Below are 26514 nucleotides of genomic sequence, written 5' to 3'. Positions count from 1 at the left end.
CCAGCTGCAGGCCCCGCCTCCTTGTCCGTTGCGCGTCCAGCGCCACCTGCTGGCGCCCCGCGTCCGCAGGGTTCCGGAACGTCCTTGGAGGCTAAGACTCCCCAAGTCGCACTCCGGCCTCTCCCAGTTTCCTCTCAAATGCCGTCTGCCCTGCACCTGAGGTCCGTTTCGCGCCCTCCAACCCCTCGCCTTTTGTTTAATCTCCACTAAGGAACGTTTGTGCATTTCTCTAGAGCAGTGGTTCTCAGACTTTAGCGTGTATAAGATTACCCGGGGGCTTATTAAAACACCGATTGTTGGGCTGTCCGCCCACAGTTTCCGGTTCAGTATGTCTGGGATGGGGTCTGAGATTCTCATTTGTAACAAGTTCCCATGAGATATGGAAGCATTCCCAGATCACACTTTGAGATAGACCGTTTAGAGCTTACAAACCCTCCCACACGTTAGCTTATTTATTTTTATTTTATTTTTATTTTTTTTGAGACGGAGTCTCAGTCTGTTGCCCAGGCTGGAGTGCGGTGGCGCGATCTTGGCTCACTGCAACCTCCAGCCCCGGGTTCAAGCGATTCTCCTGCCTCAGCCTCCCGAGTAGCTGGGATTACAGGCGCCTGCCACTGTGCCCGGCTAATTTTTGTATTTTCAGCAGAGACGGGGATTTCACCATCTTGGCCAGGCTGGTCCTGAATTCCTGACCTCGTGATCCACCCGCCTCGGCCTCCCAAAGTGCTGAGATTACAGGCGTGAGCCACCGCGCCCAGCCACCTTATTTAAAACCTAACAGCCGGTCCTGAAGTGGCTGTGATTGACAGTTTGAGGAATCCGAAGCTGAATTTCTGAGAGTGACTTGCTCCCTGAATTGTTCAAATTGTGTACCTTTAATCGCACAAACCCTGCTCCCCAGCCGAAAAAAAAACCCTTAAACCCCATGTTTACTCCGTCCCTCCCTTCCTTGCCTTAGCTTTTAAGTGCAGCTTCCCATATCCTAGCTCAATGAAGTATTCCAAACCTAAAGTAAAGTTAACTGTTAATATTCCAAGGTTTTAGAAAAAGACAACTTGAGCAGGGGATTTACTTCTCTCCGTTGGAACCAGCCTCAAGATAGGGTCTGAGACATGAATTGCAAAATTCTGGGGATTTGGTATACAACATTCTCAGGACTAAGCTGAGTAGAAAACACAAAGGAAAATAAACGCGCAACCACATTTTCCATGATTGTTTTTTATTCACTGCTAGGGCACCGAAGACTGTTCATGTTTTTTTTTTTTTTTTTTTTTTTTTTTTACTTTTTTTTTTTTAATTATTATTATTTTTTTTTATTGATCATTCTTGGGTGTTTCTCGCAGAGGGGGATTTGGCAGGGTCATAGGACAATAGTGGAGGGAAGGTCAGCAGATAAACAAGTGAACAAAGTTCTCTGGTTTTCCTAGGCAGAGGACCCTGCGGCCTTCCGCAGTGTTTGTGTCCCTGAGTACTTGAGATTAGGGAGTGGTGATGACTCTTAACTAGCATGCCGCCTTCAAGCATCCGTTTAACAAAGCATGTTTTAATATAAGTATTTTCTGTAGTCACTGACTTTCCTTGGATTAGTTTAAAGCCCTTTGAAGCTTAAATTACCGTGGACTGACACCTTGTGGTGGAAATAGAATCTTACACCTGTTGTTTCTAGTGAAACTAGAAAATAATTTAAAAGTTTTAGAAAAGAAATCTGTGTAATCTTTGTATGTGTAGCACAGACTACAAAGAATTAAGACTTTTTAACTAAGCATTGTTGAGTTTTAAAAGTGATCATGGGTCTTAAATGGTCAGACAAAACGATATGCTTTTATTGTTTAACATTTGGTAGAACAAAGGTCATTCTGTTTTTCACAATCTATTTTCCATATGAAAAGGGCAAAGAGTTATTATTGTGTTAACATAATAATATATATTCATATGAATATGGCTATATAGCAAGCTGCACTTAAAACTGCTTTTCCTTTTCTAATTAAAACATTTAAAATCAAACCCCAAATATTTTTGTTTTATAATTAGACTTTAGCAATTTTATTTCTGCACTTCTTATAAAAGGTTTTTTTGCCCAATATTTTAGTGTGGAGAATAAATAGAGTATGTTCCAAAGTAAAATGATTAAAAGTGTGAGATTATTTATCAATTAGTTTGTAGATATTATAAAAGAAACACAATATTCGATTAAGAAAAACATATTACTAAAAAGCTTTTATTGAGTTGCCAGGAGTTAGTATCATAGATGAACTATCTGCAATTTTTGCATACAAATAACCTGTAATTTGAGGTGTGAGATAAAGAAAAAAAATTTTTGTGGTGGGGGCGGGTAATACAATGCCAGAGCATCTCAGAATGCTGAGTCAGCCTCTTTAGCACATACTTTTAAAAACAAGTGTGGCTTGTGGAAAGCCACATTATGCTATTGCAAATGTTGAAAGGCAAGTTGCTAGTTTTGCTGTGACTCTAAACAACTAGAGGATTTAAAATGGGAGTTCGCCCATGAGTTACCAATAAATTTGGATCTTTCAGAATATTCTGTAATAAACTTAAACTATAGTGAGAGCGCATATTAACATAATGGACCTCAGTGTTATTTGAGGTCAAATACTAAACTGGTGACTTCATAATAACATGCTGTGGAGAAAATATAATTTAGAATCCACGAGTATTTTTGCCTGTCAAATAAGCAACCTGATCTTAGAACCTGATGAGACGACCATTTTAAAAGTAAATGAAATACTATGGTGTGAGAGATAAAATAAAAAATATCATACTATTAAAGATAATCACAATGAGAAATAGACAGTAAATTTTAAGTGAATGACAAGAATTATATTAAGTTTTTTCCTTTGGAAATCTAACTCCTGAAGGGACAGCAATTTAAGTAATGATCAACACTATTTCCAAGTCTGCCTCTTACGAAAGAAGAATGGTCAGACTTTTATTTTAAACGACTGCAAAAATTACCTAAGTTCAAGAAGAAATATTTGTCAAAATGATGTTTTAAGACAGACATGATAAGGCTTCACTGGCCAAAATTTCTGATTCTGTTAACCTCATATGATACATTCTCTTTACTAGTTCAAGATCTACTGTAATCTTCAAAGTATGTGGTCAGTTTGTCCCTCGTGTCTGCGTTTAAAAGTGGTTGGGGGTAGAGAGGAGGTCTGTTCTTGGGACTGGAGGTTTTAACTATTCTTCTGAATTCTTTCTCCCAAACTCAAAGTCCCTTATTGCTCTTTCACCAAGACAGGCAACAGTAAACATCTTTTCAGGTAGGTTGTAAGAGTAGGTGCTTCATTTCCAAGCTCACAGATCTCTGCCTGAGTACTGTTCAGTGATGTTCAAAATGCCGTGATATATTCCATTGGCTTTAAATATGTTGCGATCTATGAAAAGACTAAAGTTCCTGGCAATGGTACCATATTAAGCCTTATCAGTTATTTACATCCTACTATAAAGAATATTTCAGCTTTTTCTGAAAGTATGTTCTGGCATGGAGAAAGAAATATCAGGATATCAAACACTTATAATAGAAGGTTATGAAGGGGTTATACCTTAGGGAAAAAAGAAGGTATTATTATCCTCATTTAGAGGATATGGAGAAATTAAGGCTCTGTTTCAAAGCAAGTCTGTAAATTCTTTAACATTCTTCCCATCAAGAAGAGAGACCTATCTCCTGCCCTGGAACATGGGCAGCACTTTTGACTGTCTCCGTGCATATAATATGGTGGAAGTGACACTGCTTGACTTGTGAAGCTGGATCACAATGGGTTATTGACTTCCACCAGCCTGTCTCCGGGTACAGGTGACTTCATGTAAGAAGTCCAGCTACCCTGACAGAGAGTCCACATGGAGGGAGCACATTGTAATAGACAGAGGTGCCTGAGGAGCCCCGACTGTTCCAGCCGCCAGCTATTTAGGTCTTCCCAAGTCAGGCACCAGAGAATATGAATGGAAAGGCCTTCAAGAGAACTCTAGCCCCAGCCATTGTCTGATTGTCACTGCATGAGGACCAAAAACTGCCTAGCTGAGCCCCATCAACCCCTAAAGAAGTGAAAGATAGTAATGACAAATGCTTGCTGTTGTTTTATAGCACCAAGTTCTGAGTGGTTTGTTGTGCTGCAGGCTCCAAGAGAAGTAACTTTCTGAGAGCACTCAGGAATTTCTTAGTGGAAATGGGGCTAGAATCAATTAACTGCATTTAATGCAGTATTAACCAGACAACTGTGTTGGGTCCTGGGGACCAGAGAAGAATTAACACACAGCCCAAGCCTTCCCCTGGTCTGAGCTTCCTCTTCCCACCTTCATATTCATGGCAGCTTCTTCTTGCTGGGAGTGGGATGGAGGAGCCCTAGGGCTGCTGGCTTCTGGAAGGAACTGGATCCAGGGCACCCTGGCTATTCCCTTGCTCCATGCTGTGTGCAGGTGGCTCTGGCACCAAGAGGTGGCACCAAACCTGCTGCCAGCCTTGGCTTTCTCACCAGTGGGGCTCCGATGAGTTGACAGACTGTGTTTGGAATTGAGCATGGCGGTATTACAAAGGCAAATGGGTACCACACAACCTGCCTGCAGTGTTGCTTTGTTCTGATGAATTACACCGAGTCCCTGGATTCACATTTGGCTGGATTGTCAGGAAAAATATGTGTTCTGGGTTCCAGCTGATCTTTTCATCTAGCTTCTGTCCTCAGGTAAACATTCCCTGTTAAAATTCTAAATGTTCATCTGCTTCCTCTAAAGAGATTGGTAAAAAGGCATAGAACACCTAAGAATCAGTGTTACTTGTAATGAGCCCAGGGCTGCTGCAGGGGGCACCATATACATAGAATACCAGGTGAGTGGGGCCCCCAGGGCTGAAGTATTATGCTCTAGGCCAGAAAAAGGATATTTTTTTTTATTTCTGGGATACAGATAATGTATTTTCACATAACATCCACATGTTTCATGAATTAAACCAACAAATATTTACCAAGTATCCTTTAAATCCTTTAGTATTTAAAGTATCATTTTTTACAAAAAAAAAAAAAAAAATTGAGGGCCAACTTATTTTTGCCTGTCATGAAATCAAAGGCCAATTAAATAATCACTTCCAAATTTATATTTCTGTTTTATAGGTTTTCTTTATTCAAGGCATTCTTGTACAGTAAAGGGCAGGAAAAGGAGAGGGAGAGGGAAAGGGAGAAGAGGAAGAAGGAGGAAGGTGTGTGTGTTGGGAGTAGGGAGAAGCTTTGCAAATGGTAAACCTGGGTTATTATTTGACTTTTGGTTAAAAAAAAAGTTGCATCAAATTAAGCAGTAAGCAATCATGAAGCAGGCAGTGACATGCATAGAGCAGATTTTCCTAAATCATCTTCCCCAGAACACCAATTCGCTAAGATGTTAATAAGCATTTTCCAAATAAAGATTTTCATTTTTCAGATAAATTCAGGACCGGCTGCATCTCCACTCCTGGTGAGTGACAATTCGTTTTAGCATGTTAAAGGCTCTGGAAAATGCTAGGGTAAAAGCAAAATGAAACACAAAACAAGAAGCTTGATTGACTTCCTTTAGCCTGGCACCCCCCAAATGCTGAACTTCTGTTATTGAAGTCGCTGAGGAACAGAGCCCGTGGCACATGTGGAAAATCCTCTGCTGGATGAGGTGACTGTGGGATGGTCTCTGCTAGCTCCCTGCTAGGTCAGAGTGGAGCACTGGAGAAACACCAAACTCCTACCCAGGAGGGAAAAGGTCTGTTTCTCTGGCATCCTGCCTTTTGGTAGGGAGAAAAACTTCCAGTTTGAGTCTGAGGTGAAAATCGCTTTCCCCTTGCATCAAAGTCATGGAAACCCTGATGTGCTGTTATACCCTTCAACATTCCCATCCCTGCAGTGCCTCAGGCTTTTGCAGTTTGCCCTCCTCATGCCCTTTCCTGGATCATGGCCTTCTTTCAGCTGCCATTCCATTTTCACAGTCATTTCCATGCCCCATTTGGCTAACTCACCACTCCCTCAAAAGGAGATGCCCAGGTCAAAAAGCAGAGCTTTGCCCCATGTCCTTCCTGGAGCCTGGAGACTCCTCCTGAGTCCAGAGGGAGCAGTGAGCATGCCAGAGAAGGGCCCCTGCTAGGGACTGCTTCTGCTGTGAACATTTGGGTCCTGTTCCTGTGCTTTCCCACACCTCTCCCAGATGCTGCCGCAACCTTTACATGAATGCTCAGCCTCAGTTTCCTCCCGTCTCAAATGTCCTTATTTCAGGGTTGGGATAAAGAGTAAAAAAAAATATGTTTAGAGTTTTAAGCCTAGTGCCTGCTTGCAATAGGTGCTCAACAAGTAGATGCTATTACTGATCATCACTATTCTTGCCTTATCTTCCCAAAGTGCCTCCATACTGAGGATACAAATGAGGTCAGGTTAACAGGACCAATTTAAATCTCACTGACTGCTTGGCCTCATTTGCACCTGCAGACCTTCACACCTCCTCCACCTGTAAGCTCCAGGCCAGTATTTCTGGGACTCTCCAGAGGGTGTCTCATGGGTATGTAAGAACGAGCCCGCTCTCTGTGCCACGCAAGCCTGCTCATGGCTCACTTGTCACCAGAATGCCCGCCACCAGCTGTCACAGCTCCACGGGGTGCAGGAGTGAGGCCCTGGCTCCACCTGGCGTAGCAACTCCATGTTGGTGGTTATGGCCTGTGTGCCACCCATCTGCTCTTCTGTCCTAAGAACAGACTGTACTGTGGTCTCTGAGCGGCCAGCTTTTTGTGTTACTGGCTGTTGGACGGGGGCCGAGTAGGGCTCCTTGAGACCTCGCATGTTAGAATTTACTGACAGAGTTTTTCTTTTTGGAATTCTCACCTTTTTCCTCCTTAGGAAAGGAGCTGGGCTAGGGATGGGATGAGTCGCTTCCTTCACAGGGAGCTTGGAGTCTCTGCTGTCTTCACCACTGAAGGCTTTGTTGTCAGGTCCAGCGTCTTGCTCTGGCACTACCTCATGTGGGAGGTGTTCTCCCCTGGTGGTCTATTCCGTTCCTTACAAGCAGTCAGCCCCCATAGTGGGCCCAGACTGAGTCCTCTTCCAGGAGGCTCTTCTGCCTGTGCAAAGGGGCCACTGCCAGGCCCAGCCCTCAGTGTGCTGGTCTCAGTCTCAGTGGCCCCACCATGGTGCTTGCCTATGGGAGCAAACTCTCCTGCATCTCCATCCTCCTCACAGCACTAGCCACTGTGGTGACCATGGGTCCTACCCGATCCTGCTGGTGACTCCCTGCCACCATTGCCAGGACACAGCTCTTTCTGGCCCAGAGTGACAATTCTGGCAAATTTAACTTGACATTGGCTATCCAAGGACAAGTATATGGTGAGCACTAAGCAGCAGGCATTGTGTCTAGCTTCTGGCTCTCATAGATTTGCTAGGATTCCCCTATAATGGCGGTGGTGGTGAAAGGAGCTTACTCTACCCTGGGCAGGAGCTAGGCTGCAAACCCAAGTCTGGCTAAATCAAAAGTCCAGGCTTCCTAGAGACTCACTGTCTCTTTGTTCCTTACTGGAATCTTTGCTCTTATCCTCACACCTGTGCCACGCAAAGCCCCTCAGGAGCTAGGCTGATCATGACTGGATCCCGCACAGTCTGCCCAGCATGCTCCTCCCCATTGCCTCTAAGCTGGCCAGGACCCTGGGGGGCTTTCCCCATGCACTACCCTGACACCTTTCTGGGGCACCATAGTAACTATCCACAGCCCCTCCTGGAGTGTGTCTCTTCATCCTGAGGTCTAAAGTCCTGATAATCTCCCCCAGTGAACCTGCAGTTTCTCTGAGGAGCCAGGTCCTCTGAGGACATGGGTCCCCTGGTGACTGCCTTGCCATTACTGGAACTTCTCAGATGAGTGTGCAGACCACATCCCATGATCCCCAAGGAGCATTAGCCTAGAGGAAACACCTGATCAATCCCTGCCAATTTACGCTAAAAGCCACCATTAAAAAAAAAAAAAAAAAACCCTCATCAGGATGACCTCCTATACCACAAAAACTTGCCCTCAGCAGAACTCTCTATAGGTCTCAAAGGTGACAGTATGAAGTACTGCTGGAAATTCCCACTCTCCTGGCGTCCTATTTATTGATCACATAGCTGCCTTCCGGGGGTAGAACCACTGGGAAATGTGTATGAACAGCACTCATCAACCATCACGTTTTTATTTGGCATTAGCTCCATGCCCAGTGAAGTGCCAGGTACAGACTGAGATTCATTTAAAAAATAGAAAGCATGGTCCTGTAAATAATTTGCAATTAACCAGGGAGATACACTTATACTGGAGAATTGAAGAACAGCTACAAGTACGCACCGTAAGTAGGAAAGTTCTACAGCTTCCCTGGCTTCCTCCCACTCTCAGCCCTGCAAGCTCACCCAAGCCGAGCAGCCCACTGGCTGTACCTCAAACGTGCCAAGCGACTCCTACCTCAGGGGCTTCTCCTGGTTATTCCTGTGTCCTGGCAAAACCTTCTCCCAGACCTTCCCAATACTCCCTGCCTCTCTTCCATCCATTCTCTGTTTCAATTCCCCTTCGCAGAGAGGCCTCCCTGGTCATTGTCTCTAAAACAGTTCCTCCTCTTACTCACTCTTCTTACTTTGCTTTAGTGTTTCTTCATAGCACTTGTCACTACCAAATATCCCACTTGTTATTTACTTGTTTTTGTGTGTGTATTAACTACATATATATTTCAGTTGAAAGGTCTGTTCAAAACTTTGATCCTTTTTGAAATTTCCTTGTTTTTTATTGTTGCATTTTAGAGTTTTTGAGTTTATTCTGTTTTGTTTACTGTAGTATCTCCAGAGTCTGGAATAGCACCTGCCACAAAGGAAGCTATTTCCTGAGGAAATGAGGGAATAAATGAAGGGATGATAAATGAATGAATGAATGAGACAGACTATGCCTCGTGGTAGGATTTATATAAAATGAGAATAATATAAAAATAATGCAATTTTATATTTGCATATCACTCATTCCATATATGTGATTGTGAGATGTATCCCATCTGTGTGGTGTGTGTCTGTGGGTATGTATGTGTGAGTGGTGAGTTTGTGCATGCTGTTTATGTGGATCTAGCCAATTGACCACTGTGCAGGAGGAAGAACTCAGACCTTGGAGTCAGAGGAATCTGGCTTCACATCCCTGCTCAGTCACTTGTTAACTATATGACAGTAAGTATGTTTCTCGACTTTTCCAAACCTGGGTTTATTCACGTTAACATGGGGATAAAAGTACCTCTTTCATAGATTTGTTATGGGGGTGAAATGAGACAACATACAACATAATTAAAACACCTTACAAATGAGAAATGCTTAGAAAAAACTATTTTTTATATGTATGCTTTTCTTTTGATTTCCTAATTTTTAATTTTCATAAGGTAATATTCACTGATTTTAGTGTATAGTTGTATGATTTTGGATCCCAATCAAGTTTTTTTTTTTTTTTTTTTTTTTTTTGGAGACAGAGTCTCGATTTGTCGCCCAGGCTGGAGTGCTGTGGCATAATCTCGGCTCACTGCAAGCTCCGCCTCCCGGGTTCACGCCATTCTCCTGCCTCAGCCTCCCGAGTAGCTGGAACTACAGGTGCCTGCCACCACGCCCGGCTAATTTTTTGTATTTTTAGTAGAGACGGGGTTTCACCGTGTTAGCCAGGATGGTCTCGATCTCCTGACCTCGTGATCTGCCTGCCTCAGCCTCCCAAAGTGCTGGAATTACAGGCGTGAGCCACCACGCCTGGCCCCCAATCAAGTTTCATGACCCAAAGTGTTCCTTCTAACTGCCCCCCATTTGGGGCAACTTCTCTCACTCCAAACTCTTGGCAACCACTGATTTGTTCTTCTTTCCTGTAGTTTTGCCTTTTCCAGGGTAGCGTGTAAATGGGTTACCATATGTAGCTTTTTGAGCCTAGCTTCTTAAATTTAGCATAATGAATTTGAGAATCTTCCATGTTGCATGTATCAATAGTTTGTTCCTTTTTATGGCTGAATTTGCTTATTCATTGTGTATCCATTCACTAAAGGACATTTGTTTCCAACTTTGGGCGATTATGGATAAAGCTGCTGTATTACATTTGCATAATGGTTTTATATGAACATAAGTTTTCATTTTTTTGGATAAATACCTTAAAATGAGATTGCTGGATCAGATCGTAAGTGTGTATTTAAGTTTCTTGTAAGAAACTACCAAACTGTTGTTCAAATATTCCAGTGGCCTGAATCCTCACTAATACATTGTACTGTCATATTGTGTTTAAACTTTAGCCTTCCTAATTGGCAGGTAGTGGTTTCAGTTTGTATTTCCCTGATGTCTATTGATGTTGACTGTCTTTTCATGTGCCTACTTGCCATACATATGTATTTTAGTTGAAGTGTCTGTTCAAAATTTTGATTCTTTTAAAAATTTCCTTGTGTTTTTATTGTTGCATTTTTGAGATCTTTTTATATTCTGGATACAAGTCTTTTGTCATATATGTAATTCACAGATGGTTTTTTCCTAGTCTGTGGCTTTTCTTTGCATTATTTTGACAATGTCATTTGCAAAGCAAATTCTTAATTTTTAATGAATTCTAATTTACCAATTTTTTTCCTTGAAAGTATTGTTTTGGTGTTAATATGAGAATTTTTGCCTAATTTAGGGATGTAATAATTTTCTCCTATATTTTCCTTTAAAAGTTTACAGTTTTACATTTTATACTTAGCTCTATGATTCATTTTGAGTTAATTTTGTTAAAAAGACTATCCTTTCTCCACTGACTTACCTTTTGTATGTTTTTAGAAATTCAGTTGACCATATTTATATAGGTCTATTTCTGGGCTTTATTTTATTTGATTGACTTAGGTGTTCAACCTTTTGCCAATATCACGCTTGATTACACTAACTTGAAATAAAGTGGTATGAGTTTTCCAACTTTGCTCTTTTTCAAATTTCTTTTGCTATTCTCGTTCTTTTGCTTTACCCTATATACTTTAGAATCAGCTTGCCAATATATATAAATAATTTTGTGGAGATTTTGATTATAATTGCATTGAACCTATAGATAAATTTGGGGAGAATTGACATCTTATGAATATCCCATAAACACAGTATATCTTCCCATTTATTTGGCCTTTCTTTGGGATTTTTTTTTAAATCAGGGTTTATAACATATAGATCCTGCTGATATTACATTTACTCTTAATATTTTATTTTATGGCACTATTATAAATGGCATAATGTAAAATTTCAATATAAATTATTTATTGGTAGTATATAGAAATACATTTGTTTTGTTTTTTTTGTTTTTTTTTTTTTTTGAGATAAGAGTCTTGTTCTGTTGCCCAGGCTGGAGTGCAGTGGCATGATCTTGGCTCACTGCAACCTTTGCCTCCTGGGTTCAAGTGATTCTCGTGCCTCAGCCTCCCGAGTATCTGGGATTACAGGTGTGTGCCAGCACACCTGGCTAAGTTTTTCTATTTTTAGTAGAGATGGGGTTTCACAATGTTAGCCTGACTGGTCTCGAACTCCTGACCTCAAGTGATCTGCCTGCCTCAGCCTCTCAAAGTGATGGGATTATAGGTGTGAACCACCATGCCTGGCCAAAATTAATTTTTATATATTGATCTTTTTAGTCAATTATGATTATGAGCTCTAGAGCTTTCTTAGAGATTCCTTGGAATTTTCTACATAATGCCTTTTATTTCTTTTTCTGGCCTTATTGCACTGGCTAGGCCTTCCAGAACAATGTTGTAAAAAAGTGGTAAGAGCAAAAGTCTTTCTCTTGTTTCCTATTTTAGGGGAAAGCAGTCTTTTCCCATTAAGTGTGAAATCAACTATACAGTTTTTTCTACATGCGCTTTATCAGTTTTAAAAAAATTTCCTTCCATTATTAGTTTGCTGAGAATTTGTATCATGAATAGATATTGAAAATTTCAAATGCGTTTTCTGTATCTATTGAAGCAATCATGGTTTTCCTTCTTAACCTATTAATATAGTTAATTATACTGATTGACTTTCAAATGTTGAACCAGCCTTACATTCCCAAGACAAATCCTGCTTAGTCATGTTACATTATCCTTTGTAAATATTGCTGGAATAGATTCACTAAAATTTTGTTCAGAATTATTTCACCTATGTTCATAAGGGATATTGGTCTGGTTTTAATGCTGGTCTAATTCTAGCCTAATAAAATGGGTTGTGAAGTATTTCCTTCTTTTCTATTTCTGAGAAAAGATTATATAGATTTGTTACTTCTTCCTTAAATGTTTGGGAGAATAACTCAGTAAAACCATCTGGACGTGGAGTTTTCTTTTTTGAAGTATTTTAACTACAAATTCAATTTCTGTAATAGATATGAGACAAATCAAGTTATCTAATTTCTTCACCAAGCTTTGGTAGTTTGTATGTTTCAAGGAATTAGTCCATTTAATTCCTGATTTAACCCTGATTTAAACACAAATTTGTGGTAATACAGTCATTTGTTTTTCTGTAGTGATATCCACTCTTCCATTCCTGATATTGATAGCTTTTGTCTTCTCTCTCTCTCTCCTTCTTGCTTAGTATAGCTAGAGATTTATGCATTTTATTGATATTTCATTGGCTTTGTCTACTGTTTTTCTGCTTTCATTTTCATTGACTTTTGTTTTTATTTTTGTTAATTCATTTTCTCTGCTTGCTTTGGGTTTAGTTTGTTCTTTTTATCTTTGTTTGTTTTTTTTTTGTTGTTTGTTTGTTTTATGGAGTTTCATTCTTAGCCTCTAAGCTGGAGTGCAATAGCACAATCTTGGCTCACTGCAATCTCCGCCTCCCGGGTTCAATAGATTCTTCTGCCTCAGCCTCCCGAGTAGCTGGGATTACAGGTGCCTGCCATCACACCCAGCTAATTTTTTGTATTTTTAGTAGAGAAGGGGTTTCACCATGTTGGCCTGGCTGGTCTCAAACTCCTGACCTCAGGTGATCCACCCGCCTCGGCCTCCCAAAGTTCTGGGATTACAGGGGTGAACCACCCTGCTCAGCTGTTTGTTCTTTTTTTCTAATGTCTCACTGTGGAAGCTTAAGTTATTGATTTGAGACTTTCTTTTCTAATATGAGCATTTAGTACTATAATTTTCTTCTCTCTAAGCACTTCCACAATTTTTTATAAATTGTATTTTTATTATTAATTATTTTAAAATATTTTATTATTTCCCTTGAAACTTACTTGACCAATGGGTTATTTAGAACTGTGTTGTTTAACACAGTTACACTGCGTTGTTTAACTTCCAAATGTTTAGGTATTTTCTAGATATCCTTGATTTTTTATTTTTTTCTTTAACCATGTATGGTCATACATATTATTGTCAACATATTTGGTATGATTTCAATTATTTTAAAATTGTTAAGGTTTATTTAATGGTTCAGAATGTGTCCTTTATAGGTACTTGAAAAGAATGAGTTTTGCTGTTTTGGAGTGGGTTGGCACCTGTTAGTGGTTTTTCCCTTGACTATTGGTCACATTTTCCTGGTTCTTTGTATGTTAAGTAGTTTCAGATTGTATTTTAGACAATCTGATATTATGTTGTGAGACTCTGAGTCCTGTTAAAATCCTCTAGAGAATATTGATTTTCCATAATGACCACCCTGATATGCAGTTCCACACAACTGGAGAGACAAAGAGAACGAAAACAAAAATTTTCCCCCATCCACTTGGGATGATAGGGAACTCTTTTGAAGATCCTCTGACCAGAGAGACAGTGGTTTGTTTGTTTGCTTTCTCAGTGTTTTAGGTGCACATGCCACAACTGCTGCAGAGAAGCTCTAGACTGTGGCCACTCCTCGCTTAGAGATAGGAGGAAAAAAGAGGGGAAAAACAGAAAAAAAAAAAGCCTTGGAATATATTCTACACTTTTCAGCTTACAGAGGTCTCTGTATCTGTTTGGTTCAACAAAGGAGATTTCTCTGAGTTTTGATGTCTGCTCCTACTGCTCAGTTCCATAATTAGGGCCATTTTCATTTCAAAGCAGTGAGATACAAAAGCAAAAATAACTCAGGATTCTCATCCTAATACTGGTTTTTCTTCAAATTTTGACTTTCAAACTATCTTCTGGTGTTTACTTTTCAGAGTCCTTAAATAGTTACTTTCTGTATTCATTTTTAGCTGTAATCTGTGAGAGAGACAGACTATAGAGGGCTGACTTTATCTTGGCCGGCAATGGCGGTCTCAGTAATATTTAACATCTAATAATTATTGAATTCCATGTACAACTCGCATCTCCTATCCTACCCTCTTTAGGAGGGCTTTTAAGAATGCTGGATAGTGGGAATTTTAGAGACATTGTGGGCTGACTTCTGTTTTCACTGGGAGAGGTGGGAACAGCTTTGTTAGGTAAGCATTTTCTGGCATCTACTTGGGACTCATTTGCATATTGGTAGCTTCAACCTCACACAAATCATATTGATCCGGTATCCCATTTTTATGTTCACACTCTGGAAACATGTACTAGTACTGCCACCTATATCTGCAATACTTAGTGTAATTGCTGGTTTATATGTCTGTCTCCTCCTTGAGGTTCCTTAAGGACAGAGAATGTTCTCTGCCTTCTGAGTTCCTAGCACAAATTCTGGCACATAGAAGGAACATAATAATTTTTTTTAAATTTGTGAACTTGCTTAAAATTGAATTTCATATTCTTGGAATGAGGGATAACATTTTTCTCGTCTTAAACAAGTATGATAAAAATACCCCACATATCTCTGAGAACCATCTTGTAATTGCAGCCTTCTCATGCCTGAGAAAGGTAAACACTACACACAAGAGTATCATGGAGTGGCCACACTGTGTCTTCTCTGCTTCAGAGATAGGTAAATCAAGGCACGGGAAAGTCAGGTGTCTTTGTATTCAACCTCAGATTATTAAGCACCTCAAAGAAACTGAAATGGAGAATCTGTGTCAACTCTTTCTTAGAATGGCAGTTCTGATCTCAATTTCCTTCAACTGCATAATAGAATACACAACTCAGTATCTATTTACACATCACTGCTTTTTCTTTTTGCATTAAGACATCATTTTAGAATAGGTTTTCTGACTTCCTCCGTGTCTCTGACTGCATTAACTACCAAAAGCGTGGCTGAGCCACACTTCGCTGACATCATTGTGCTCCCACCTCAAATCATTTTCATCCTATTGTGAAGCAAAAGCCTTAAAAATGCTCTTTAGTTTTTTTTATTTTTATTTTTAAAGGACATTTACATCCAGCCATTTTATGAGTGCAGTCAAGGCAATTTCATGTTATTTTCCAAGACTTTTACACACTTGGAGAGCCTGGCAAAATGCATTCGAGATGTTTGAGCAAGAGGTCCCATCAGTTATTCACCTGCATGTTTTAAATTGGGTGCCTGCCCTGACCGGCTGAACACTCCATTCATCGAATTGCCTGGAACAGCTCCATGGCCTTCAGGAGCCTCATGCACATCTCACACTGTTGCAAAATTGCCTTCAGACAGGATTCTGATTTCCGTCAGAGAATTTTAAATTCCAGCTAATGGAATGCTTTGAAGGCATGTGCCACAGACTTCTGCCCAGTGCAAGTCCTGTGTGTGAGCAAATCTAGCAGGGACTCCAGAGCCTGGACAGCAGAAAGCTGCACTTCCTCAAGAGGACGCAGGATCCTCTCACTTTCCCAGTTATCCTACAGCTGACTAGTCAGCTGAGGGATTCACCTGGTGTCTGTATCTCCCCACTAGCTTCTTACTGTGGGAAGAGAAAGAATAGGATCCTGCTGGGAGCCAGGAGTCCCTGGGTTTAATTAATGGCCTTTTGGCTTTCTTCCCTTCCCCTCTCCACCGTGTGCACTGGTGGACACTGGTCCCCATCCCTGAGGTTCAGTCCTGCCCTGGATTCCAGGTCTACGCCAAGCCGAGAAGGTTTTGGATGAGAAGAGCTGAGTAATTTGCTTCGTCAACAATTTTTGAAACAATGCTTGAGATAACCTTTGGAATCTGGGTTCTTCAACTACATGGTTTCTGTCTTACTTTTCTCTTGCAGGAGGGTCAGTGCTTTCATTCCCAGCCAGCTATTCCTTGTTCTTCATGTCCTCTACCACCTAGTCCCAAATATACAATGAGAACTCCTGGATCTCTTAGTTTCTAGGTGTCCAGTTCTACTTGCCCTTAAATTAATGACTTCCATCCAGGGCACAGTGGTTTTGTTTGATTGTATCAATGGATTAGACAGGCCCAAATCTAATTAAAAGCTTTGCCCCTGTCTAGTTGGAGGGCCTTAAGAAAGGCACTTGACATCTCTGAGACCCAATTTTCTCATCTGCAGAACAGTTTTACTAAGATGTCCTAAAGATTAAATTATATAATATATAAAGAGTCTAGCAAAGAGTAAGCCTGTAAATGATGGCTATTATTATTATTTTTACTAGTATTTGACTATCCATTAGTCCATGGATAAATGAGTCTATCTTTGGCTCAACTCTCACATTCAGATATATTCTATGCTTTCACCTGAAGTTGGGGATCCTCCATGGATTACTGGTCCTACCTCAATTATTTTTCCTGCTTGTTCTCTGCCTTATTTGTCCTTCTGCTTCCTGAGCCCCTAATTTATTCATGTGAAAAAGCAAAATTGCACAATGTAAATTCTATGAGAACAGCTTCACTCTAAGGTAAATTATAATGTCTTGTCTTATTCATGAAATGACTGAATGTTGATGGTCATGTATATCATCTACTAAAATGATAGAATGAATCCTTTAGACACTCTAGAAATAGTTTGTTCTATTTTTCTCTACTTGACTGATGATCTGTTGGGATCAGAACAGATATTCACAATATTAAAACTATAGTAAATGGTTTTGTGGTTGTAACCAATGACAAATAATTTTTTCTCTCTGAATCTGACATCCTCCACATCTACTCTCTGGGATGGAAATGTCTTTAGTGATACTGCCAAAAGAAGCATCAGAGAGAGATTAGATAGATATGACCTTTCCATGAATTTTAAGAGGAAGACTCTGATATGGTTTGACTTTGTGTCCCCACTGAAATCTCATCTTGCATTGTAATCCTCAGGTGCCAAGGGAAGAACCTGGTGGGAGGTGATTGGATCTTGGGGGTGGTTCCCCCATGCTATTCTCATGATAGTTGTCACAAGAGCTGATGGTTTTAAAGTGTGGTACTTCCTGATGCTCGCTCTCGCTCTCTTGCTTTCTGTCTCTCTCTCTCTCTCTCTCTTGCAGTCTCTCTCTCTCTCTCTGTTGCCTGCCGCATGTAAGATGTGCCTTGCTTCCCCTTCACCTTCTACCATGATTGTAAGTTTCCTGAGGCCTCCCCAGCCATGCAGAACTATGAGTCAATTAAACCTCCTTTCTTTATAAATACTCAGTCTCTGGTGGTATTCTTCATAGCAGTGTGAAAACGGACTAATACAGAGAATTGGTACCAAGGTAGTGTGGTACTGCTATAAAGATAACTTGAGAATGTGGAAGCAACTTTGGAACTGGATAACAGGCAGAGGTTGGAACAGTTTGGAAGGCTCAGATGAAGACAAGAGGATAAATGAAAGTTTGGAACTTCCTAGAGACTTGTTGAATTGTTTTGACCAAAATGCTAATAGTGATATAGACAATGAAGTCCAGGCTGAGATGGTCTCAGATGTAAATGAGGAACCTATTGGGAGCTGGAGTAAAGGTCACTCTTACTATGCTTTAGCAAAGAGACTGGCAGCATTTTTCACCTGCTCCGGAGATCTGTGGAACTTTGAACTTAAGAGAGATGATTTAGGGTATCTGGCAGAAGAAATTTCTAAGCAGCAAAGCATTCAAGAGGTAATCTGGTTGATTCTGAAAGCGTTCAGTTACATGCGCTCACAAAGAGATGGTTTGAAATTGGAACTTATATTTAAAAGGGAAGCAGAGCATAAAGATTTGGAAAATGTACAGCCTGACTATGTGGTAGAAATTTTTCTGGGAAGAAATTCAAGCCAGCTGCAGAAATTTGCATAAGTAACAAGGAGCCAAATGTTAATCACCAAGACAATGGGGGAAATGTCTCCAGGGCCTTTCAGAGATCTTCAAAGTAGCCCCTCCCATCACAGGCCCAAAGGCCTAAGAGGGAAAATGTCCTCAGGGCCCTGGGCCCTGCTGCTCTGTGCAGCCTTGGGACATGGTGTCCTGCATCCCAGCCACTCCAGCTCCAGCTGTGGCTAAGAGGGGCCAAGGTACAGCTCAGACCATTGCTTCAGAGAATGCAAGCCCCAAAACCTTGGCAGCTTCCACATGATGTTTGGCCTGTGAGTATTCAGAATACAAGAGTTGAGCTTTCAGAACCTCCATCTGGATTTCAGAGAATGTGTGGAAAAGCCTGGATGTCCAGGCAGAAGTCTGCAAGAGGGGTGGAGCCCTTATTGAGAACCTCTGTTAGGCAGTGCAGAAGGGAAATGTGGGGTTGGAGTGCCCATACAGAGTCTCCACTGAGGTACTGCCTTGTGGAGCTGTGAGAAAAGGGCTACCATCCTCCAGACCCCAGAAAGGTAGATCCACCAACAGCTTGCACCTTGCACCTGAAAAAGCCACAGACATTCATTGCCATCCCATGAAAGCAGCTGGAGGGGCTGTACCCTGCTAAGCCACAGGGGTGGAGCTGCCCAAGGCCATGGGAACCCACGCCTTGCATCAGCATGCCCTGGGTGTGAGACATGGAGTCAAAGGAGATCATTTTGGAGCTTTAAGATTTAATGACTGCCCGGCTGGGTTTTAGATTTTCATGTGGCCTGTGGGCCCTTTGTTTTGGCCAATTTCTCCTATTTGGATGGGAATACTTACCCAATGCCTGTATTGCTACTGTATCTTTTTTTTTTCTTTTGGAGATGGAGTCTCCCTCTGTCACCCAGGCTGGAGTGCACTGGTGCGATCTCGGTTCACTGCAACCTCTAACTCCCACATTCAAGCAGTTCTCCTGCCTCAGCCTCCTAAGTAGCTGGGACTATAAGCGCCAGCCACCACACCCAGCTAATTTTTGTATCTTTAGTAGAGATGGGGTTTCACCATGTTGGGTAGGCTAGTCTTGAACTCCTGACCTCAGGTGATCCACCTGCCTTAGCCTCCCAAAGTGCTGGGATTACAGGTGTGAGCCACTGCACCTGGCCCCCTATTGTATCTTGGAAGTAACTAACTTGCTTTTTATTTTACAGACTCATAGGTAGAAGGAACTTGCCTTGTCTTAGATGAGACTCTGGACTTGGACTTTCAGGTTGATACTGGAATGAGTTAAGACTTTAAGACTGTTGGGAAGGAATGGTTGGTTTTGAAACTTGAAAGGGACATGAAATTTTGGAGGGGCCAGGGGTGAAATAATATGGTTTGTCTCTGTGTCCCCACCAAAATCTCATTTCAAATTGTAATCCTCAGGTGTCAAGGGAGGAACCTGGTGGGAAGTGATTGGATCATGGAGGTGGTTTCCCCCATGCTGTTCTCACGATAGTGAGTGAGTTCTCATGAGAGCTGATGGTTTTAAAGTGTGGCACTTCCTGGTTTGTTCTCTCTCTCTCTCTCTCTCTCTCTGTCTCACCTGCTGCTATGTAAGATGTGCCTTGTCTTCCACCATAATTGTGAATTTCCTGAGGCCCCCCCCAGCCATGCAGAACTGTGAGTCAATTAAACCTCCTTTCTTTATAAATTACCCAGTCTCTGGTGGTATTCTTTATATCAGTGTGAAAACAGACTAATACAGACTCCTTCCCTGGACACTAGAACCATGATGGCATTAGGGATGGAGTTATTAATGCATAATAGCAGAAAGCTCTTTACCTCAACATTATAAAGATAATAAAGGTATAGTTAACAATGATTGTACACACATTGTAGATTCCATTACAGTATTAAATTGAGCAATAGTGTTTGCAGCAAACTATGGGCATTTTTCTTTAATTTCCCCTCCCATTAAATTATTCTTTAATTTCTCCTCCCATTAAAGGAGAGGGTGGTCTCTTTTCAGGTAAGGATTGCTCATCTCTTTCTTCTTCATGCCTCATGCCGTGCATGCCCCATGCAGGTGTAAGCTAGATGGCATTCTGTATGTCAGGACCATTTTTCATTACTGCAAAATACTCTAAGTTTTAAAGAAAAGAATTTCTATCCTATGCATTGCTATAAGGCTTTTTATTCCAACATATGGTATTAAATAGGAGTTATGTGCTCAATTGTGAATTTATATGAAAAGGAGGTTAGGATACAACAGGCATAGAGGAAACATCATGTGAAGACACAGGGAGAAAACGCTTATCTGCAAATCAAGAGGAAAGATCCCAGAAGAAACTAACCCTGCTGATAGATACCTTGATCTCCGACACCTGTCTGTGGTACTTGGTGATGGCGCCCTAGCAAACTAATATAATTGTGATGAAACACAGAGGCCCAAGAGTGGCCTTTGTGTTTCATTTCAGTGCTCTATGTTCTGGCCAATTGTCTGTCACCTTCCTTTGTGCGTGAATGAGTCCCCTGTGGGCAAAAGCAGAGGCCACCCGTGGGGGCATACCTAGATGGGCGGCAGGCAGACAACCACTATCTGTCATCTACCCAACCACCACTTATGTCCTTTTCCCTCCATATCCCTCCTCTTTCACCATCCCTCCCCTCCTACTCACCTTCTTCAGGTAGCAGGAGTGGGAGGTAGGAAAAAGCAACAGACTTATTAATGTTAAAGATCCAAGCTGCAAACCTTTGCCTCTGCTTAGCTTTTTGGTTTCAGACTCTTTCTCTAGGCAAAATTTTCTCAAAATTGTCTGCTACAGGAATTCAGAGAAACATTTAAAACTCTAAAAGTAGACCGATACCACCACCTTCCCCATCCTCCACCCAACCAGGCTGTGACAGTAGGTAAAATCTGTATACCGACACCAATTCCCTTGATGGCATTTGGATCCATTTCCAATTGAGAAGCAGTCATCTATCCTTTTTCATTAGCTTCGCCTTCACTGGTGAGAAGTTAGTGGGAAGTAAAGACTCTGGAGGCCTGGAGTTGTTGGGTTTTAAAATTTTATGCCTGGAGGGTAAGTCCACTCTAGTAAATGCGAAGTTATTTTTAAACTTAAAGCCATGGAATACAACTACATTATAGTAACCAGCTATTTTGCAGTATAACCTACATTCATTCGTGTATTGTTTGTATGAATGCTCTGTTTCCAGCATAATGGCTTTTAAAAATTAAAAATATAAATTAGCTATTATTAGAGAAACAGCACAATAGTAAAACTCCCATAAATTGGCATTAGAAAATATTAATAATAGACTCTAGAGGGGACAGACAGTCTCTAAAGAATAAACAAATCATTGAGTAGAGAACACAAATCCCATCCAACAAGTTAGTGCTCTATGCTGATCTTCAAACAATGGGTTCCTGGGTCTTAGCAAAAGCAACAAAAACAACTCACCACTAACCGAGTGCTTACTGAATCTCATATGCTTTATATGTATTACTTTATTTTTTTCTTCCAAATGTCACTTTTGAAGAAGATACCTTTAATATTTCCACTTTACAGATGATGAAATTTTAAAATGTTATATAAATTGCCCAGCTAGTAAATGGTAGAGCAGAGATTCAAACCCAGCCTTAATATATATACTATTATTTTGATCCCCAGAGCACTCAATATAGTGTTGGGTACTTTTAAAAGAATTAAGAAAATGTTGAGCCATATGGGGGATGATTCAGCCATATTGTAGGGACAGAAAACAGTAAAAGTGACCCAAATACCCTATCTTTAAAATTTTTCTATGTTTTAACCATTTATTTTCCACATTATTCTTTTGTGCAATGTTTGCTGAGCATCTACTATCTTCCAGGTACTGTGTCGGGTGGAAAACAGGAATAAATAATATACAAACCTTTTTATTAAGTAATTCAGAGTTCAATGAAAGACTTCAAAGGAAAACAGATCATTTTTAAGTGATCGAACTATGTGACAGGTGGAGTGGCATTAGCAGATCACAGAGGGGATGGTCAGGACTGGCTGCTGGCAGGAGGGGACTTCTGAGCAGGTGAGAGGCAGGGGTGTGCGAGGAAGACAGGTAAGACCTTAACAGGCAAGGGTACAGTGTGAGCACTGGCAGGAAAAAGAGTTGCTGGAAATTTCCAGCAGTTCATTGTTGCTGAAGCAGAACGTGTGATGCCGGGTGGGTCCCTGATCGTGGAGTGGAGGAGGGATGCAAAGCATGGAGACCCTTTTAAGGCACCAGACGAGGGAGAGAGATTGAACAAATAGGAGAGGTGGGTGGGTGAGGGAGAGAAGAGCCACTGAGATAATCACAACTCAAACAAAACTAAAACAAATGTAGTGCATGTCCTTGAGTTCTCTTGCTTTCTCCCATTTTCCATGAAAACGTGCAAACTAGCACCTTAACACTTTTTGTAATTTCATGACAAATGCTATCATATTTCATAGTCAGCACATGGCACTAAGTATACATAAAATGAACATTTTGCACACTGTCACTTTTTTTTTTTTCTCTTGAGACAGTCTTACTCTGTTGCCCACGCTGCAGTGCAGTGGCGCCATCGTGTCTCTCTGCATCCTGGGCTCCAGCGATCCTTCTGCCTCAGCTTCCCGAGTAGCTGGGACCACAGGCGCCTACCTCCTACTTATTTTAAAAGAGTTCAGTCCAGGTTCTACTGTTCCCAAGGGACTTTTCTCCATACTAGGAACTCTAAAATCTGACAATGGTCTGGATCCGTGAGATAGGAAAGGCATCTTATAGGTACCGGGTCCTGTCTTCTGCCAGGGTCTACTGTGCTATAGTCTCAGAGGGATTTCATTAGGGGATCCCAGTAAGGTTGTAAAATGAATAAGGTCTTGGTGGCACCATCTCTGTGTAGTGAGGAAAACTTATGTAAAACTGGAATGGGTGAAGGGGTGAAACTAGGAAGGTGTCATAGCTGTTAGAGGAGGGGGAGCAGGATTGGGTGGGTAAAGCCTTCAGCCCGTTGACATCTATGAAAGAGGAAGAAAGCAGGAGAGCCTTCAGTTGCAAAGGACGGCTGACCAGGGCTTGGCTTGCTCAGTGAGCAGCTTCAGAGCAAAGATTGCCTGATGAAGCAGTTCAGCATTGGGCCAAAACAGCCAGGCCCTACAGTACCCTTCTCATCTGGTTTGGCTCTGTCCCCACCCAAAATCTCATCTTGAATTGTAATCCCCATAATCCCCACATGTCAAGGGAGAGACCAGGTGGATGTAATTGAATCATGGGGGTGTTTTCTCCCATGCTGTTCTCGTGGTAGTGAGTTCTCACGAGAGCTGATGATTTTGTAAGTGTTTGGTAGTTTCTCCTGTGTTCATTTCTCCTTCCTGCCACCTTGGGAAGAAGGTGGCTTGCTTCTCCTTCACCTTCTGCCATGATTGTAAGTTTCCTCAGGCCTCCCCAGCCATGCTGAACTGTGAGTCAATTAAACCTCTTACCTTTGTAAATTACCCAGTCTTGGGTATTTCCTTATAGCAATGTGAGAACAGACTAGTATATCTTCCTTGCTCGGTCATTGGCTGGGGGTTACCCAGGAAGAATGTGACCCAGAGTGAATGCCATGCAGATGCTGATGGCGCTACAGTTGAAGGCTGTCAGTTACCTGTGCTCCCTGCAGCTGGACAGCAGGTTCTCAGAGGAATACCCTAAAGGTGGTGTATTTTGTGGCTGCCACACCATCCTTGTTAAAGAAATAACTCTTGTATATGATCTCCATTGTATTTCTTAGGTCTGTATGAAGCTGTGTAAACAGTCTTGCTCTTTTCAATAGCTGAGGTGCTTTTTAAATAAAATTCATAGGTTCTTGGATATGATTCAATCCAGTATATTCTGTGAACTGGCTTTGCAGCTTCATCTGAATAATCTCAATATTTACATATGAGTTATATGTATCTCTTGGAAGAAAATTTTAAAAGTAAAAGCCATTATCTATATGTGCTCAAAGGATATGAAAGAATTTTAACCTCAGAAAAGCACAATAAGTAAGTCAATATCTATTTTAATCTCAGGCAAGCATACTAAAGAAGTCAGTAGCTGCAAAAGCTCCTCAAAAAATTATTCTAAGTCAAATATAAATAATCTTATTTGCTCTTTTGGATTATGAATACATCATAGCTTTTTTATTAACATCCAATTCAAAGTTGGCCTATTGTCTGGTGGTATTAAAATGGATCACATGTGTAGCTCTTAATAATGCACATTGACATGGAACACTTGGCTTGATCCTCATAATTCTATGAGGTAGGTATTATCACCTATGTACAGATGAAGAAACACATCCTGAGAGATGTGAATTTTAATGCAATTTCTATGAATGACATCTTTTTTTCAAAATCCTATGAAACACAATCTGGTAATTTTTAAGACACTGTACCACTCTTTCCTTACACCATATACAAAAATCAACTCAAGATGGATGAAAGATTTGAATGTAAACCTTAAAACTATCAAAACCCTAGAAGAAAACAAGAAAGGCCATGGACATATGCCTTGGCAAAGACTTCATGATGAAGATGCCAAGAGAAATTGCAGCAAAAACAAAAATTGACAAATGGGATCTAATAAAACTAAAGAGCTTCTGCACAGTAAAAGAAACTATCAACAGAGTAAACACACAACCTACAGAATGGGGGAAAACACTTGCAAGCTATGCATCTGACAAAGGTCTAATATCCAGCACCTATAAGGAACTTAAATCAACAAGCAAAAACAAACAACCTCATTAAAAATGGGCAAAAAGTGTGAACAGACACTTCTCAAAAGAAGACGTGCATGTAGGCAACAAGCATATGAAAAAATGTTCACCATCACTAATCATTAGAGAAATGCAAATCAAGACCACAGTAAGATACCATCTCACACTAGTCAGAATAGTTATGATGAAAGAGTAAAAAAAAAAAAAAAAAAAAAAAAAAAAGATGCTGGTGAAGTTGTGGAGAAAAGAGAACACTTATACACTGCTGGTGGAAATGTAAACCAGTTTGGCCACTGTGGAAAGCAGTTTGGAGATTTTTCAAAGAATTTAAACAGAGCTATCATTCAACCCAGCAATCCCATTACTGGATATATACCCAAAGGAATATAAATTGTTCTACCATAAAAACACATATACACGTATGTTCATTGCAGCATTATTCACAATAGCAAAGACATGGAATCAACCTAAATGCCCACCCATGGTGGAATGGATAAAGAAAATGTGGTACATATATACCATGGAATACTATACAGCCATATAAAAAAATGAGATCACGTCCTCTGCAGCAACATGGATGGAGCTGGAGGCCAGTATCCTAAGTGAACTAATACAGAACAGAAAACCAAATACTGTATGTGCTCCCTATAAGTAGGAGCTAAACACTGAGCACACATGGACAAAAAGAAGGGAATAATAGGCACCAGGGCCTATTTGAGGGTGGAGGGTGGGAGGAGAGCGAGAACTGAGAAAATACCTATCAGGTACTATGCTTATTACCTGGGTGACAAAATAATCTGTACACCAAACCCCATGACATGCAATTTACCTATATAACAAACCTGCAAATGTACTCCTGCACCTAAAATAGAAGTTGGAAGGAAAAAAATACATTGCACAAATGGAAACAATAAAATCTACAATTTGAACATTTATTTGAATAGCTGGACGTGTCATCAGAACAACTCTTGATGCTTATTTAAGCTCCCAGAGTTACCTAAAGAGAACATGAGGTTTAAGAACCACTGATGAGGAATAAAAGCCCTACTTTGAAGAGTATAAATATATAAGCATTATATACATATATAAACACACATTTTAAAGAATTATAAAATGAACACTTGTATACTTAACACCAAGAAATTGAATATTAACATTGAAGCACCCAGGGCTTCTCCTGTATTGCATTCTTTCCTAGAAGTGATCACCAGCCTATGTTTTGAATTAATTATGCCTACGCTTTCGCTGTTTTGCCACACTATATCTTCTATAATATTGTCTTGTTTGCTTTTAGGCCCTATGTAAATGGCATATATATTGACATGCACACACATCCCCTTTGATGACTTAGTTTTTTATCTTTAACAGTCTATTTGACATTGGTTCTCACTGATGCTTGTGACTGTAGATCACATTCATTCCTTTACAATATTACGTTGTATGGAAATATTCATTTTATCCATTCTGTTGGTGGGCCTTTGAGTTGTTTTCAGCTTTTTTTTCTCAGGTACAAATAATGCTTCCATGAAGATTCTTGTAATTGGTTTCCTTGGTATATTTGTAACAACATTTCTTTAGGGTGAAACTATAAATTGCAGAGACTACATACTTTAAAACTTATTAGGAATTAACAACTTATTTTCTAAGGTGTCTGTACCAATTTACACTCCTACTATAATTTCATGAGAGTTCTTGTGGCACCCTGTCCTCACCAATTCTTATCTGACATGTAAATGTTACCATGTGGTTTTAATCTGTATTTCTCTATTTTCTTCTAAGACTTTAAATATTTTACTTTCATTTAAGTCCTTGACCCATTTAAATTTGACTTTTGTGCATGAAG

The 26514-nt window shown here is 40.6% G+C and overlaps 1 long non-coding RNA gene across 1 annotated transcript in view, besides 1 other annotated feature; it reads left to right on the top strand.

Moving 5' to 3' along the window:
• Positions 1-26514, top strand: part of STEAP2-AS1 (STEAP2 antisense RNA 1) — a 329283-nt gene that overhangs the window by 57194 nt on the left and 245575 nt on the right. The window lies entirely within an intron of this gene.
• Positions 1217-1757: an enhancer, noted in NCBI's record as "NANOG hESC enhancer chr7:89781999-89782539 (GRCh37/hg19 assembly coordinates)". NCBI's record gives its function as "activates a minimal SCP1, AML or CMV promoter by ChIP-STARR-seq in naive H9 embryonic stem cells {active_cell/tissue: H9 hESC(naive)}" and the evidence as "EXISTENCE:reporter gene assay evidence [ECO:0000049][PMID:30033119]".

This window comes from Homo sapiens, chromosome 7 (assembly GCF_000001405.40).
Source record: "Homo sapiens chromosome 7, GRCh38.p14 Primary Assembly".
NCBI lineage: Eukaryota > Metazoa > Chordata > Mammalia > Primates > Hominidae > Homo > Homo sapiens.
Note: the sequence above shows the minus strand (reverse complement) of the source record. Positions and strands in the feature narration are given on the sequence as shown.